This window comes from Homo sapiens, chromosome 6, assembly GCF_000001405.40.
Source record: "Homo sapiens chromosome 6, GRCh38.p14 Primary Assembly".
In the NCBI taxonomy this organism is placed as follows: domain Eukaryota; kingdom Metazoa; phylum Chordata; class Mammalia; order Primates; family Hominidae; genus Homo; species Homo sapiens.
Genome location: NC_000006.12, coordinates 6605439 through 6623291, shown reverse-complemented (window position 1 = coordinate 6623291; position 17853 = coordinate 6605439). Strand labels below are relative to the sequence as shown.

At 45.6% G+C, this 17853-nt stretch overlaps 1 protein-coding gene and 1 long non-coding RNA gene across 2 annotated transcripts in view; one reads left to right on the top strand and one right to left on the bottom strand.

Annotated features, from left to right (window-relative positions):
* Window positions 1–17853, bottom strand: part of LY86 (lymphocyte antigen 86) — a 66263-nt gene that overhangs the window by 31691 nt on the left and 16719 nt on the right. The gene's annotated exons all lie outside the window — the stretch shown is intronic.
* LY86-AS1 (LY86 antisense RNA 1) overlaps window positions 466–17853 on the top strand; it is a 276362-nt gene continuing 258974 nt past the window's right edge. The window contains exon 1 of the long non-coding RNA NR_026970.1: window positions 466–660. This is a non-coding gene — a long non-coding RNA (LY86 antisense RNA 1). The remainder of the gene's footprint in view (window positions 661–17853) is intronic.

Sequence of the window (17853 nt, the reverse complement as noted above, 5' to 3'; positions counted from 1 at the left end):
GCAGCCTGTGTCTCAGCTCCACAGGGTCCTTCTGTCAAGCATCCAGTTTCTAATCCCCACAACCTCTGCCTTTTGCTCTCCCAGCCTTCAGGGGTCCTTTCTTTGCTCTTTTGGTTCTCCAGCAACTGGTTCTCTAACCAACTTCCTATATCAAATTCTCTCTGTTAAAATAACTGATATGGTCTTCGTTTTCCTGACAGCACCCAGACCTGCAGAATAAACAATAATCTGAAGAGATAGGTATGATTTACCTCATTTTACTGTTACGAAAATATAGACTCGGAGATGTTGTATTAACTTATCTAGATCCCCACACTAGAAAGTGTCAGAGTCAAGATTCAAAGCCAGAGTTAAAACCAAACAAACAAACAAATTGCTCCCGGGTATTGTGCAGTGAAACTCACAAAGTAGAACCTCAACTACATATGTTACTTATTTGATTTGTAAGATTGCCCAGAATATTTTGTGTGCAGGCATATGGCATCTGGTAGTTCTGTTTCATAACTGATTTCCATTTCAGCTTAGCTATGAGCTCACATTTGCCAATGTAGTGTTCCAGACAGTTTTATCATCCACATTGCTGACCTGGAAGATGCATCATTGTCTATGATATCTGCAATGGAAATGATCACTAGGCAATTTCAGCCTTGCAAATCTAACGTAAGTACACTTTTGTTTGATCAAAACCCCTTTGGTCCAGTCACTAATTTTCCTAAGGGTGGGAAAGAGCCCTTTTGTCTTATGCTCATTGGACTCCTTCCTAAGTATCTCTGTGCTGTCCCAGGGTTTCTTTCAGCCTGGAAAATAGGAGCAGGGGGTTGGAGACGATAGTTCCTGCTACATCCTTGGCACTCAGTATTGAAAAAGACAGAAGCCAATGAACAGATGCTTAGGAAGGTGAATCCTCAAAATTGTGGATAAATTTAAGTTGCTATCCAGGCAAAATAAAAGAGGCTAAGTACGTATTGTGTTGTTGATTAGCAGCTATAGAATTACACTGTATGTTTATCAATATTTTAAAGGTATAGATAGAAAGAATCAACTAAGGGCGGGAGAAGGAAATAAAGCATTTTCTTGGTACTAGAAACACATTGTTGTTAGGAAAATAATCTCAATAAAGAACAAAGTCACAAAGAAAGCTGTAGGCTGCATCTCTCTGAGGATATGTATATAAAAGCAGAAAGACAGATTGCTTAAAAAGCGCTTAAGGGTTTGGTGAGCTTTCCTAGCAGTTATTTCAAATTTATATGCAAGAGTGATATCTTTGAGTGTAAACATGCAGTTTGTGGTCCTCTTGGGGAAAGTGACATTGGTTCTTCCTCCTCCCCCAACCCCACCCTCTCAAACTCATATCCTTCTCTGTATTTATTTGCATTTCCACTCAGGCACTTTGCATGTTTTATATTACATTATATTTGTTTGTATACCTCTGTCATTCCTCCACTAGATACTGCAAAGCTAACTCCCCAGTGCCAGGGCTATACATAATGTCTTAATATCATACTAAATCTCCAGTGATTGTTTGCTGGATGAATAGTAGTGGTTATTTGTAGTAAATTTGCCGAGAACCTTAAAGCAGGATTCCTCAATGTCATCACTATTGACATTTTGTTTTGGATATCCTTTGTGGTGGGTGCTGTTCTGCACATCATAGGATGTCTAGAAGCATCCCTGGTCTCTACCCACCAGATGCCAGTAGCATCCCCATACCCTCTAGTTGTGAAACCAAAAATATCTCTAGACCTTACCAAAGTATCCATGAGGGATAAACTCACCCCTGGTGGCGATCACTGCTTTAAATAATCACTGTATCAATTTCCAGGCTTTACCTATCCTGCAAATGCCTCAGAATCACCTACCAATATAAAAGATGGTAGGTTGCATTTTAAAGTAGTTCTCCTTCTACAGTATGAACAGTGACGGACAGGCTGAGAGCGGAGAGACTTTCCCTTGGACCCTTGCCTCAGTAACTTTTAATACATGTAAGACGGATCATCTGACTTTGGACTTTCTGAAGCAATAACATCGGAAAGTTAATCAGAGTTGGCGTTCTGGGAATTCAAGGGCAGAGATAAGTGTTTCCTCCAGATACTTCACTGTATTTCAGCAAATGACCTGAGGAAAGAAGTCAAAACTTCATCACGAAATAGAAGACTGTTCATTTTCAATATTTCTTCCTTGGCCTCTATGTGGCACTCCCTTGCTGTCTGTCCTGTTGACTTCTATGGCTTCCACCCAAGGGAGGACAGCATTATAGTGGGTGAATCCAGCACACCCCAAACTGCCCCTGCTCCCCTCTCCCCCGGGCATGTGGGCCCTCGAAGGCAGGCTTCTCCAAACCAGCAGCATGTGAACCCTGCCAGAAGTGAGGAAGAGCTCTAGGAGAGCAGCCAGCAGCATCTGTTTTGCATACAAAGGGCAGCAACAATCAAATCTCTTCTAGAAAAGTTTTCTTGGACATTCATGGAGTAAAATAGAGTTGGATAAACAAGCCAGGTTTAGAGTGAGCAGCGTTTGAACAAATATCAGCTCCAAAGGTATTGTTGTGCCTTCCACCCTCCATTAGTGGCCTAGGCTGGGCTAGACCTGGGCAGCTGTCGAGGGGAGGACAACCTTGTCAGAATGGCTTCTATTAACAGCTAGCAGTGGGCTTTCAACTGGAATCAGTAGGAAGAAGACAAAATCCAATGACACAGACTCTGGAAGTGAAATTCCTCAGCAGAGGATGGTGGGGGCCCGGGTACACTCCACTGGACCAATCCTTGATTTGACTTCAGGCAGCCGGAAAGCTTGGATGTATGTCCCTAAGTCCTGGAGGCCATGGATGTAGCTCCGCCCCCTGTGGCCTCTGCGTTGCTGGCTGGTTAGTTTGAGGCATAGAGGAGGGCCCAACTCTTACACAGCTAGTCCCATTTTCCATATTCTAGCTCTACTTGAGGTTTTTCTTTAGCTTTATATTTTGAAATAATTATATTTTCACAGGAAGTTGCAAAAAGATACAGAGAGGTCTCATATGTCTTTCCCCATCATCCCCCATGGTAAGATCTTACATGGAGGACAATACCAAAACTGGGACATTGACACTGATACAATCCACAAAGTTTATTCAGATGTCACCAGTTTAACAATCATTCGTGTGTGTGTGTGTACAAGCGCATGTATGTGCCTGTTTTTTACATTTCTATTGCTTGGGTTTAAAATGGTTAGAAATTGGTCTTCCTCCTCTCAGGGGAAGGTAGAATTCTTACAGCAGAGTCGCTGTGAAAAGGAGCTGACCCCCCTCCAATCTCACTTCCACCAGCCTTCCACATACTCATGGCCAAGTGCAACCCCAAGATTGCAATGTCCTTCCTGCTTTGTAAAGGTAGTCTTTCTCCCCCTCCCTTTCTCCTAGCTCTCCTCTTCTCTCTTCCTGTCTCTCATTCTTTCCCTCTCTCCCTGTCTCCCTCCCTTTCTCTCTCTCTGTTTCTCTTTTTCTTCTCATACCAGTACTTAGATCTGGCTACCATCCTGAGATTAAGAACACTGACTTTTCTTCAAACACATCTTAACATTCATGGCTCATTCCCTGTGGCCCACATTACTCTAAGAGCTGGTATTGCTTCCTGCATGTGCTTTTGGCAGAACACAGGCTGGCCCCAGGAGGATGTTAGGTATTACAAGCATGCTTCCAATAGAGGCACGACCTGCGGAGGAGAAAGGGCGTAGAGGGCCCAGGAGACCTTACCAGCCACAGGCAGCTTAGCTGCACTGGCAAGACTGCCTCTAGCAAACAGTTTATGGAGGGAAGGAAAAATTGGGTTAACAGAATGTGAATAAAGCTGGTCTGCTTCTGACTGCTCAATAAAACAGTACTGGATGGTTGTTTAATAATGGGGGGGTGTGTTAGGGTTCTCTAGAGAAACAGAACCACTTGGCACTGGAGACAGAGTGTCTGAGTGTGGTTGAACTGCTAGTCCCGGGCCAAATAGTAGCAGATATTCCTCTGCATCTTTCAGAATTCTTTCCCAAATGTAACAAAATAACAAACAGACCTTGCTTTTGATTTCTTCTTTTAGGTTGGCTGATGGCCAATTCTGCCAGCTTGTGTTCTATTTATCAAACAGATCTAGTTGGGCATGGATCTAGAAGTCTGTCTTCTTTCATGGCTGTACTTTTACTGGAGTGTCTTAATTTTCTTGGCGAATTCATAGGATGACGTTCAAGGGTCACCGTAGACCTTTACAGGAGGATGATGCATAAGGCTTCAGTAAAATCGCATTGCTGGAAATCCATTACCAGCACAATGCAAAATTAACTTTCTTCTTTTCTGTCCTTAATGCCACTGTGTTCCCTCCTCCTCCTCCCCTCATACTCCCTCCCCACCTTTGTGGAAAAAGAAATAATTTACAATGTGGTAAATGTATTCTAGCTGTGGTTTTCTATTATGTCCTGATCTCTTCTTTTTTCTACCTGTCAAATCTTATTACTGTAGCACAGCAAGGCTCCCCAATGGGTCATTATTTCAAATAATAGTAGTTCCACTCCCATTTGACTCTCTTATGCCAGCATTTCCTCGGGAATTGACTCACACATTCAAGTCATACGTATGAACTGGCTTCCGGTTTCATCTCAGATATGTAAACGGTGTGTTCAAAATACTTAAACATGTTTCTTGCTATCAAATGCAACAAAAATAAAATGAACACCATCATAATGGAATATCGACTATTTGTGATATGAGATGGTAAAATCTGCAACATCCTGCTGGCTGCCTGGCAACCTTGGTGAATATGTTTTTGAGTGAGAAGGTATGTTTGGGCTGCTAAACTCAAAATTCTGGATCCCTAGCTTGTCTGCTTTTAATTGCAAAAAAAAAAAAATTGAATTCATAATAAGCCTTTTTATTGACAGAAAAGGAGTAGGAATCTTGCATGGCCCCTCTGGCCTCTAAGTTCCACTTTCTCAGAATAACCTAAGTTTGGCTTCTATCAGCATAGGAGGAGATGGCTTTTCTATCATGATATAAACATGAGAGACCATAACAGATGAGTGGCAATGAAGACACTCTTCTGCCCAAAATATCTTGCCAAATGTCTTGAGGAAAATAATGACCTAATTGAGGCAGTTTTGTCTGATCTTTGCATCTTAGGAGTAGATCAACAATGCGCTAGCCAGGCGCGGTGGCTCAGGCCTGTAATCCCAGCACTTTGGGAGGCCGAGGCAGATGGATCACCTGAGGTGAGGAGTTCAAGACCAGCCTGGCCAACATGGTGAAACCCCATCTCTATTAAAAACACAAAAATTAGTCGGGTGTGGTGGCATGTGCCTGTAGTCCCAGCTATTCAGAAGGCTGAGGCAGGAGAACCGCTTGAACCTGGGAGGCGGAGGTTGCAGTGTGCCGAGATCGCGCCACTGCACTCCAACCTGAGCGACAGAGTGAGACACTGTCTCAAGAAAACAAACAAACAAACAAAAAACAAAACAAAACAAAAAAACCAAATGCACTAAGTGCAAGATTTTATTGTGTGTTACCAAGAGGGTGCCATGGCGCCACATAGCATAGGATCCTAACATGAAGGTGAGAGGAAACTGGAACCTGTCTTATGGGTGAGAGACAGTGCATCTTAGTGGCTGGAGGATGCAATAGGAAGAGCAACTTGGCTCATCATTCATTACCCTGTGATAGGAAGGGGATTAGGTCTTGGGGATAGACAAATCAGAAATGCTTCTGGTATCATCGTATGTATAATACTTCATCATCTGATTATGATAACACACTACTGAATAATAAACTCAACAAAAGATGCATGCAAACTTTATATATACTCTAAATCTCTCATTTATAGTCAACACATTATAGTCTCATTATCATCAACATTTTATAGTCTTCTGTAGACAAGGCATGTTTCCCACGGATTCACTTTATACTACCTTGCCTGCCCCTCTTCATTTTAAACACCATCTTAATAACAGTGTCACTCTTCTTTCTTACAATATGTTTCTTAACTGTCTAATATGCGCTGGACACTGTGCTAGCCGTGGTGGAACTGAGGTGGAAAAGGAGCATTTTGACCAGGCCAGTTCACCCAGAGCCCTACTATTGGTTAAGTAGCGACCAGATTACTAGGGCTTCCTCAAGTCTAGAAGCATCAGGGGAACTTGCCTCTTTGGCTTGGTGTTGGTAATTGTTCAACTTTCTGTTACTAATTTGGAGTCAGTCCATGTGGGATAGAAAAGTGGATAAATGCTAGTCTGCTCTCTTTTTACAATGGAAGATTGGACGTTAGCACATGCTTCTCCGCTGCCAATGTGGATTTCACCACTCCTTCTAAGGGAGAGCCTGGCTTAGGGACAGCGGGAACCATGACACTGGTGACACTCACACAACCAGGATACACCTGTTGTATTTCATGTCTGCGGTTCTTACGCATTTGTCTGTCTCTTGACAGGGGACAGAAACAGGGCCAGATGCACAGGGTGGTTTACGTGACTGCACAGCTGCAAAGATGATCTCTGGGACTTTTCTTGACATGCCGCAAATGCTGAAAAGGAATTCCCTTCTGCTTCTAGAAGTCATGAACTAGATATGATTTAAAAGAAAAAGCTAAGGTGTTTGTTGTCCTTGGCATCTGATGTTGTGGAATATGATGGATGGGTGAGCAGGAACTGACAAACTGGCTGGGAGGTAACAGCTGAGGCCAGCCTGGTCTGCTCATTGATGGTGCTGGATTTGAACCAAACGTACCAGGAGGTCCTCAAATGCAATTTGAATTGTTGATTCTCTCATTAGTCTTGAGAGTGGCCAGGGCATGGGGTGTTAGTAACATCCCTGTTTGCTAAGGAAGAGACTGAGATTTCAGGCAGGGAAGTGACTTCCTCACATCTCCAGACTCAGCCTCCAGGGCCCTCAGCACTGCACCCTGGTTGCTGTGCGGGTCTCACCCTGCAGTACATGAGCGAGGCAGACAGAAGACAGAAGCAGAGCTTTAGATGGAGGCGAAACGAGTCCAGATATGTGTGCCGGAACCTGGTCCTCCTAGGATTCAAGTTGCTTACAGAGAGGGACAAGACCCAACAAGCTTCCCAATTTTGATAAAATTCTTCACTGAGATTGTGCAGGTCACTGTCACTCTGCGAAGGTGCTGCTTTTCTCAACCCAAAGGAAACTGGGATAGAGGAAAATGCACTGAAGTGTTTTATTAGGAATTAAGAAAAATAATGCATATAAAGCATCTTGGCCAGTGCTAGGCACATAATAGATAGTTAATAATTGGGCAAAAGGAGGATGGAGTCTATTAGAAAGAAGATATTACAATATTGACTATTCTCATTACAGTTGCAGAAAATGAAACCAACTTCTTTTTAACATTTTTCTTTTTAATGTAAGAACACCCTAGGTTTAAAATAATTTAGTTAAGTTCATACATCTTTTTTGTATTATTATTTTTTGAGATAGGGTCTGGTTCTGCTGCCCAGGCTGGTATCAAACTCCTGGATTCAAGCGATCCTCCTACCTCAGCCTCCCAAACTGCTAGGACTACAGATGTGGTCCACTGTGCCTGTGCCCAGCTTTTTTTTTTTTTTTTTTTTGAGACAACATCTCACTGTCACCCAGGCTGGAGTGCAATGGCACAATCTTGGCTCACTGCAACCTCCACCTCCCAGGCTCAAGGGATTCTCATGCCTCAGCCTCTCCAGTAGCTGGCATTACAGGTGTGTGCCACCACCATGGGCTAATTTTTGTATTTTTAGTAGAGATGGGGTTTCACCATGTTGGCCAGGCTGGTCTTGAACTCCTGACCTCAAGTGATCCACCCGTTTCGGCCTCCCAAAGTGCTGGGATTACAGGCGTGAGCCACCGCAGCCTGCCTTCAGCCAAGCTTTAAGTTAAATAGATATTTCTGAGATGAAACCTAGATGTCAGTTGGGGCCTCCCAGCCCTTGAGATTAAACAGGATTGGTGGAACATAACCTCATGGTTGGGATGCTCTTTGCTGATGGTTCTTAATGTGGCTGCACGTTGAAATCAATAGGAGAGTGCTGTGAAAATACCCATGCCTGAGTTCCACCCCAGACAGTCTGATTTAATAAGTCTGGGTGCTGCCTGGTTTTCAAATGCTCCCCAGGTGATTCTCTTGCCTTGCCTAGTTTGAAACCCAATGTTAAAAGCCACACCAAGTTTTTTTTGCTCATTTCCTGATATATGATCTTAAACGTGAGATCCTACGTCTACCGTGTATCACTCGGCTCAAAGTTTAACCCCTTCATAGATGTCCTAAGAAATCTCCTTACAAACCATTTCACAAGGTGTACAGAATTTATGAAGCGTTAAGAGGCAGCCGCCTCCGCTTAGCCCTTTATGAGCCGGTGAGATGCTCCCGGCCTCTCCCTCTTTTTTCATGTCTCTGGCTCCTGTCTCTACAGGACACCATGTTTCCCCTGCCTCAGTCCTGAGGAGTTGGAACCTTGGCAGTTACCCAAGCGACTCTCAAGAATTCTTTCAAGAAAGGCACGGCCCTGCTTAGGTAGGATTCTTGCAACAGCCCCTAAAAGCATTTTTTTTTTCTGTTTCATTTCCTGAGCATCGACTCTCTGCCAAGCACGATCTTAGGCATGAAAAGATTTGAGATGAGAGTTCAGGGACAAAGAGAACAAAGCTGAAGAGATGAGCAAGGAGAGCTAGCGGAGGATGGGGAGCATGAGACAGGACACGCCTGCAAAAAACTCCCAATGTGGAGAAGAACGTGGAAGAACAGCAGAGCTGGGCAGATGTGAGTGGGCGGCGTGGGGCTGGGAGAGCCAAGACCAGAGAGCCTGGTATGCGCAGGAGTCCTGGGCTGCCTGCAGGCTCGCGGGAGCTCTGTGCTCGGGCGGAGAGCAATGATTTGAAGGTGGGAATGCAAGCATACACTCAAATAAAAAAAAAAAAAAAGAGACGTGATTATAAATAAAAGACATTTGGCGTCAATGAAGGAACTACTTAAGAGACAAGCAACATCTTTTGTAGCCGAATAAGCTTTACCTCCCTTTGCGGTCTGTGTTTGTAAGGCAGTCAAGGTTCACACTCTCAGCAATTTTGGGTGTGGTTCTTCTGCGGCTGTGAACTTGGACGGATTGTGTTGCGTTGTGTGTGCTTCGTGCCTCTCCATAAGCCACCGTGACTTTTGGAGATGGAAAGTCAACTCATCCATTTTGTTTCCTAAACACTGATTTTCTTCTGGAAAGGCTGCCTGTGTTCCTGAACACGGGAACCAATACAGGCTGTAAATAACAACTTATTCTTTTAGGGAATGTAAGTAGAAGGTTCTAAGGAATAAACTGTATGAAAAATATCTCCATCAGAATTTGAGAATGAGCTAAAAACGTCCCTTCACGATTTCTGAATTCCCCACTCTAGCAACACCTTGCTTCGCTCTTTACACTGCACTGTGGGAGCTGGTTAAGTGTTCGAGGAGTGACTGAAGGAAGGCGGATAAACCATCAGGCAGGGAAAGTAAGGGGCCCTATTGAGAGGTGACAGCATGCTGGCAGCCCTCGCTCGCTCTTGGGGCCTCCTCGGCCTTGGCGCCCACTCTGGCCGCGCTTGAGGAGCCCTTCAGCCCGCCGCTGCACTGTGGGAACCCCTTTCTGGGCTGGCCAAGGCCGGAGCCGGCTCCCTCAGCTTGCGGGGAGATATGAAGGGGGAAGCGCAGGCGGGAACCCGGGCGGCGCGCGGCGCTTGCGGGCCAGAGCGAGTTCCCGGTGGGCGTGGGATCGGCGGGCCCCGCACTCGGAGCGGCCGGCCTGACAGCAAGCCCCGGGCAGTGAGGAGCTTAGCACCTGGGCCAGCAGCTGCTGTGCTCGATTTCTCACCGGGCCTTGGCTGCCTCCCGGCGCGGCAGGGCTCAGGACCTGCAGCCCACCATGCCTGAAGTCTCCTCCCGCTCCCCACTCCCCCGCTGTGAGCTTATGAGCAGGCCAAGCCTCCCCGACGAGCAGCGCCACCCTGCTCCATAGCGCTCCGTCCCCTAGACTGCACAAGGGCTGAGGAGTGCGGGCGCACGGCGCGGGATTGGCAGGCAGCTCCACCTGCGGCCCTAGTGCCGGATCCACTGGGTGAAGCCAGCTGGGCTCCTGAGTCTGGTGGGAACTTGGAGAATCTTTATGTCTAGCTAAGGGATTGTAAACACACCAATCAGCCCCCTGTGTCTAGCTCAGGGTTTGTGAATGCACCAATCCACACTCTGTATCTGGCTACTCTGGTGGGGACTTGGAGAAGCTTTATGTCTAGCCAAGGGATTGTAAATACACCAATCAGCACTCTGTATCTAGCTCAAGGATTGTTAACACACCAATCAGCACCCTGTGTCTAGCTCAGAGTTTGTGAATGCACCAATTGGCACTCTGTATCTAGTTAAGCTGGTGAGGACTTGGAGAACCTTTATGTCTAGCTAAGGGAATGTAAATACACCAATCAGCACTCTGTATCTAGCTCAAGGTTTGTAAACACACCAATCAGCACTCTGTGTCTAGCTCAGGGTTTGTAAATACACCAATCAACACTCTGTATCTAGCTAATCTAGTGGGGAACTGGAGAACTTTTGCATCTAGCTCAGGGATTGTAAACGCGACCAATCAGCACCCTGTCAAAACGGACCAATCAGCTCTCTGTAAGACAGACCAATTGGCTCTCTGTAAAATGGACCAATCAGCAGGATGTGGGAGGGGCCAGATAAGAGAATAAAGTCAGGCTGCAGGCTCCACTAGTGACAACTGGTTGTTTCGTTGCTTTTGTGTGGTTGGTTTGTTCTTTTGCTTTTTGCAGTAAGTGTTTTTGTTGTTTACACTTTGGGTCTGCATTGCTTTTATGAAGTGTAACACTCCCCATGAAGGTTTGCGGTTTCTTTTATGAGGCCAGTGAGACTAGGTACCCACTGGGGGAAAATAAATGATTAACACTCCAAATGTATCACCTTAAGAAGTGTAATGCTTACTGCGAGGGTCTGCAGTTTCACGCCTGAAGTTAGCAAGGCCACTAACCCACGAGAAAGAAACTCAGAACACATCTGAACATCAGAAGGAATAAACTCTGGACACGCCCTCTTGAAGAACTTAACTGTGAGGGTCTGTGGCTTCGTTCTTGAAGTCAGTGAGACCAAGAACCCCCAAATTGTGGACACATCTATCAATCTTAGGAGTTGTTGAGCTGATTTTTGGAAATAATCAGCTTGCTTTTGGATCTTCTCAAATCTTGCTAATACATTGGCTTTTTAACATCTTCAATTTGCTCTCTCCTAATACAAGAGACCACAAAGATTATTTTCATAGTGTTCAGTACTCAGTTAAGGGGGTAGATATCCTTTCAAGTAGATTGCTTGGGACACGTGCTGGAAGTTAAGAGCAGCTGGCAGAACACAGCAGCAGTCTGATTTTTTTCTTATTTTTGGTAGGTGCAGAAAAAATGGAAGGAGAGATGCTAGATTGACAGGAGAGACAAAAGCCCTGCTATTTTATCGGTCCGATTGTTAAAGCTTTTTGAGCCCGTACTGTTTGATAGGCACTGTGCTAGATGTGGGATACAAAGGTGATTTAGTCTTAAGCATAGCCCCTGACTTTCAGGAGAAAGGGGGGACAAACACGACCGGCGCGCAGCGTAGCCACAAGGTGCGGTGAGAGAACAGGGAGGCACCAGTGTGGGTGACAGGAACTGCCACACGGTGGACAGGTAGCAGCGCTTTGCCTTGGAAGCTGTGGAGGCGGTTTTGTGTCCATTCATCTTAAGTATATTCCTATATATTTCCAAATACTTGCAGTAATTACAGATGAGTGTAATAACAGTGATCACTTCTATAGCTCTTTCCACAGCAGGTCCTGTTCTGAGCCCTACGTATGTATTAGCTGAAATCCTCACAAAAGCCTTAAGAGAGATGCTATCATCCGTGTTTTAGAATTGGGAAAACTGAGGCAGAGAGGGTTTATGGAAAGTGTGCAGGTTGAAAACCTTGTACTGGGCTGGAGTAGGAGCCTATGTTATGTAGGCTCTTTTCTACCAACTCAGGCACAGAGAATAATATATACAAAAAAACTCAAGTCCCAAAGACTGTGTATTCTGGGAACTTCACGTTTGTCAACAAAAGCTCTTCATAAAATCAAGTCAGTTGTGCTTTTGTGACCTTCATTTTGAATCATATAAATGCAAACAGTCCAGCTTGTTTCTTTGAAAGGCTGGAGGTCGGAGGTGGCTGGTGTTTGCTCAGACACGGCCAGATCTTAACGGTCCTAGAATCACCCCTGGAAGGACAGTGGAAAAACAAGATAATTTTCTTTTCCTCTATTGCTTAAAGTGGTATCAGAAAGGTAGACTTCTGTCTTCTTCCTATATATTTTCAAAGAAGGAGCCTTCCTTGGCAAAATACAAATTTCTGTGGCTGCTGGGGTCAGAAAGAGTTTCCACCGTCATCACAGGCCTTCATCTTGCAGGTAAGCTCAGACATGCTCACCTTCTTACTGACTTTGCTGAACATCGCTCATGTTGTGGAATAGAATTTCTACACCATTTGTGCTCATAGTGTGACATCAAAACCAGTATGTCCTTTGCAGCCCTTAAATACACACATGAGAATGCACACACACACCCCACAAAACAAAACCCCAGCCCTCCCTCGCTTTGGCCTTCTAGCTTGACCATTTTAGGGCAGACTGTCTTGGTATGTTCCTAGGGACAGAAGCTTCCATGTAACTCAGGCAGTAAATCAGGGCATCAGCTAGCACTCACCTTGCCCCCCCCTAAGCTTCCGTTTCTTCACTTGTAAAAGGAGGAACTGAGCACTATTTTAAGCTTCATGCTTCCTTCCTGTACCAGGCTTCTCAGATGCCCCAGAGGCCAGGGCAGTGGAGCCCAGACTCTGGGGGCTCAGGGCCTGCACTGTGGGTCATAAAGGCAGAGGGAGATGCGTAGCCTCAGGCTCAAGAGCTTCAGGCCATTTTTTTAAAATAAAATCTTTTTATCTTGAAATAATGATAGACATAGGAAGCTACACAAAGAGTACAGAGGTGCCCTGTGTACTTTCACCCACTTCCCTTCATGGTAACATCTTACAGAACCACGTATCAAAACCTAGTCATTGACACTGGTGTACTCTACAGACTGTACTCAGGTTTTAGCGGTTTTCACACGCACGCACGTGTTCGCTCTTGTAGTTCTATGCAGGGTTACTGCGTATAAGCACCACCATACAGATCCTGGCTGGGCGTGGTGGCTCATGTGTGTAATTCCAACACTTTGGGAGGCCTGGGCAGGAGGATCGCTGGAGCCCAGGAGTTCACGACCAGCCTGAGCAACATAGACCCTGTTTCTACAAAAATAGAGGCCAGCACCCTTCCTTGCCAGTGCAAACGTTTCTTGCAATGTTCAGGGCCCTGTAGCCAATCTTGGCCATACACAGAGGCCTACAGAACAAGCACGAATTCTTTTTTTTTTTTTAAATTTTAATGGACACACAATAATTATCCATGTTTATGGGTTTGCTTCCTAAATGCTTTCTAGTATGAGAGCAACTTAGCTTATTTTTCTCCCTGGCCTTCCTACATGTGCTAATGAATTGTCCGTGGCTGCCTCCAATCCCCCAGCAGACCAACAGGAGGAAAAAAATCAATTTGCACTTTTCCTAGGAAGCAATCCTGTTGGCAGAGCTGACTCATAAACAGCCTCCTTTTCTGTGTTAGCATGTTGCTGAGAGGCCAGCGTGACAGTGCTTCTGAATGTGGCCACCTGGATTTAAGGTGGAGTAGTGCCTCAACTGAGAGGCCCTTGAAGGAAGAGAAAGTGTGTAAGGAAGTGCATAGAGAATAAGAGATCCAGTATCTCCAGGGTGTGGAATCCCAGGCTTCCTTCCTAAAGATACCGTGAAGCTTTCCCAAGAAAGCAGAGTGGATACCCAGTGGGAGTTCCCACCCGTATGTCTTGAACTGGAACCAGGGAAGTCAAATTCTTCATTCCCAAAGCCAATTCGCCATTTCTTTCTGCATCTCTTATGTCAATGAGATGAAGCCAGGGTGGGTCTGCTGGATGCTCCAACTCTGCAATAGAGCTCTCCTGGACAGGAAGGAGGGAGGTGTTTCTATGGGAAATCTGAACTTGCTTGTACTTTCTCTTCATTTCACATAGACCATCCGGGAATAGGATCCCGGGGCCATGAACAATAAAAGATTACAAGCTCTTACAGGTGGATGCTGGAGGGGAAAAGCAGAGCTGCGGTTGGCTTGGTCTCTCTGCCAGCAAAATACATTCCTAACCAAGGAAAGGACTCATTTCTCTGCCTCCAGAATCAACACACCCTAGCATTCCCTTCCTGATTAGGGGAATAAAAAATACTTTTGCTAAAGATATAAAAAGAATTATATTGAAAGATAGCAAGCTGCCATGAAAAATAAGACAGGAAATTGGATTTCGGATGAATAAAGGAGAAGAGTTCACCCGTTGAACAATCACAGCCGTCCTTCCCCCGCAGACCTGCACACAAGTTAAACACCACGTGTGAGTTTCTTCTGCTTCACAGCAAAGTTTAAAGAAGGCCTGGCTCAACGCTATGCCCTTCTCTGTAACACCATTGCTGTAACCGTTTGGATATTGTTCAGCCTTTTTTTGCCATCTGTTCATGTGTCTTCAGAACATTTAAAAACTGTTAGTGTGCATGGAAACATTACTGGACAAAACTGATACAACTAGAGCAATTAGTCTAAATACTTTTGCCCAGGCTTAAGCTGCTGAAAACTGGAGAAAGAAAAAAAGGACTGGGCCGGTAAACATTTTCTGACACAGGAGACATAAATAACGGATATTCACAACAGTTTGTAATTGCAAAAAAGTGGAAACAACCTAAATTTTTATCAAAAGGAGGAGGGACACAATTGTAGTCGATACGTATAATGATGTACTCTACCTCCATGAAAATGAATTAAGTAACGCGATGCATGCTAGCTATCTCTTGAAATAATGTAATAAATTAGTCCCCAAATAAATTGCTAATTCAACTTTCATTAGTTCCAGTAATTTGTAGATTAGGTTTTTCTGCGTAGACAAAGTCATATTATATGCACATAATAGTATTTTTGTTTGCTCCTTTCAAATCCTTTAACATTTTCTTTTTCTTGTCTTACTACACTGGTGAGGTCCTTCAGTACAATGCTGAATACAAGTGGCAGTGACGGGCAAATTTGTCTCACTCTTGATTTTAAAGGGAACGTTTCCAATGTTTCACCATTAAATGTATTGTTCACTGTAGATCTATATTTTAGGTGTATTTCTTTAAAGAGCAGACAGCTAACTTTTAAAATGCAATTTGTCATTTTTTTGTTTTGTAAGATCAGGTTAATATAGTCCATTTATATCTATTAGGGCTTCTGATTTATTTTTTTATTTTTATTTTTATTTTTTGAGATGGAGTCTTATTCTGTCAGCTGGAGTGCAGTGGCACTATCTCAGCTTACCGCAACCTTTGCCTCCCGGGTTCAAGCGATTCTCCTGCCTCAACCTCCCGAGTAGCTGGGATTACAGGCACCCGCCACTACGCCCAGCTAATTTTTGTATTTTTTGTAGAGACGGGGTTTCGCCATGTTGGCCAGGCTGATCTTGAACAACTGACCTCAGGTGATCTACCTGCCTCAGCCTCCCAAAGTGCTGGGATTACAGGCATGAGCCACCGTGCCCAGCCAAGCCTCTGATATTTTAATAATTATTTTATCCTATTTTGGGTTTTCTTTCTTTATGCCTTTCCTCCCTTCTTTCCAGCATTCTTTTGGATTTAATTGGAATATTTTAATTTTTTCTTTTGTTTTTATTGTTTTGTTTATAGTTTGGAAATCATATACTTTATTTCTAGTCAGGTAGTACTTACCTTTGAAAATTTAACACGAATATCTTAATAAATCTTAAAAATAAACTTCTCTTTTTCCTATTTTTAAAACCTTGGTATATAAGTATGTATATATTTGTTTTTATTGTGGCAAAAAACACATGACAGTGAATTTCCCATCTTAACCATTTTCAAGAGTACAGTTTGGAAGTCTTCAGTATATTCACATTGTTGGGCCACAGATTTCTAGAACTTTTTCGTCTTGCATAAATAAACATTGTCTTTACTCTCCTCCCTGAAAAAGACCAGGTCAAGGACATGAGAATGCTTTAATGTTCACTCACCAGCCCCTCCTCTGTGTGCTATTGTTATCTGCCGTTTTGCACTAGGCAGCCTCCAACATGGCCCCAGGGACCCCCTCCTAGTGTTCACGTCCCGTGCAATCCCCTCCTCTGGAGTAGCCCAGTGACTTGCTTCTAAGCGGTAGTGAGAGGTGACAGCATGCTGGCAGCCCTCACAGCCCTCACTCGCTCTCAGCGCCTCCTCGGCCTCGGTGCCCACTCTGTCCACGCTTGAGGTGCCCTTCAGCCTGCCGTTGCACTGTGGGAGCCCCTTTCTGGGCTGGCCAAGGCCGGAGCCCGCTCCCTCAGCTTGCGGGGTGGTGTGGAGGGAGAGGCGTAAGCGGGAACCCGGGCTGCGCGCGGCGCTTGCGGGCCAGCGCGAGTTCCGGGTGGGCGTGGGCTCAGCGGGCCCCGCAAGTGCTGCAGGTCCGCCCGCAAGCCCCGGGTAGTGAGGGGCTTAGCACCTGGGCCAGTAGCTGCTGTGCTCAATTTCTCGCCGGGCCTTAGCTTCCTCCCCGCGTGGCAGGGCTAGGGACCTGCAGCCCGCCATGCCTGAGCCTCCCCCCGCTCCGTGGGCTCCTGTGCCGCCCAAGCCTCCCCGACGAGCGCCGCCCCCTGCTACACGGCGCCCCGGTCCCATCGACCACCCAAGGGCTGAGGAGTGCGGGTGCGCGGTGTGGGACTGGCAGGCAGCTCCACCTGCCGCCCAGGTGCAGGATCCAGTGGGTGAAGCCAGCTGGGATCCTGAGTCTGGGGGGGACTTGGAGAACCTTTATGTCTACCTAAGGGATTGTAAATACACCAATCAGCACCCTGTGTCTAGCTCAGGGTTTGTGAATGCACCAATCGACACTCTGTGTTTAGCTACTCTGGTGGGGCCTTGGAGAACCTTTGCGTCCACACTCTGTATCTAGCTAATCTAGTGGGGAGGTGGAGAGCCTTTGTGTCTAGCTCAGGGATTGTAAACGCACCAATCAGTGCCCTGTCAAAATGGACCACTCGGCCTTCTCTGTAAAATGGACCAATCAGCAGGATGTGGGTGGGGCCAGATGAGAATAAAAGCAGGCTGCCCGCGCTAGCAGCAGTAACCTGCTTGAGTAGTATTACGTGCTGTGGAAGTTTTGTTCTTTTGCTTTTCGCAGTAAATTTTGCTGGTGGTCGCTCTTTGGGTCCACGCTTCTTTTATGAGTTATAACCCATACTGTGAAGGTCTGCAGCTTCATTCCTGAAGCCAGCGAGACTAAGAACCCACCGCGAGAAACGAAGAGCTCCAGATGCCCCCTTAAGAGCTGTAACATTCACCGGGAAAGTCAGCCAGCGAGACCACGAACCCCACCAAAAGGAAGAAACTGAACACATCCCAGCATCAGAAAGAATAAGTTCTGGACACACTGCCTTTTAAGAACTGTAACACTCACCGCGAGGTTCCGCGGCTTCATTCTTTAAGTCCGTGAGATGAAGAACCCATCAATTCCAGACACAGTAGAACATAGCGAAAACATTGGAATGTTGCTTCTGAGATGAGGCTGCAATGTCATGAGACTATGACAGCTGTCATGCGCTTTCTCCCACTCCGTGGGAAGCACGTTGCCATGTTATGGGGTAGCGTTGTGGGGAGACCCCCCATGGCAAGGCACTGATCTCTGGCTAATAGCTATTGAAGACTTGAACTCCAGTAACAGCCCTGTGAGTGGGCA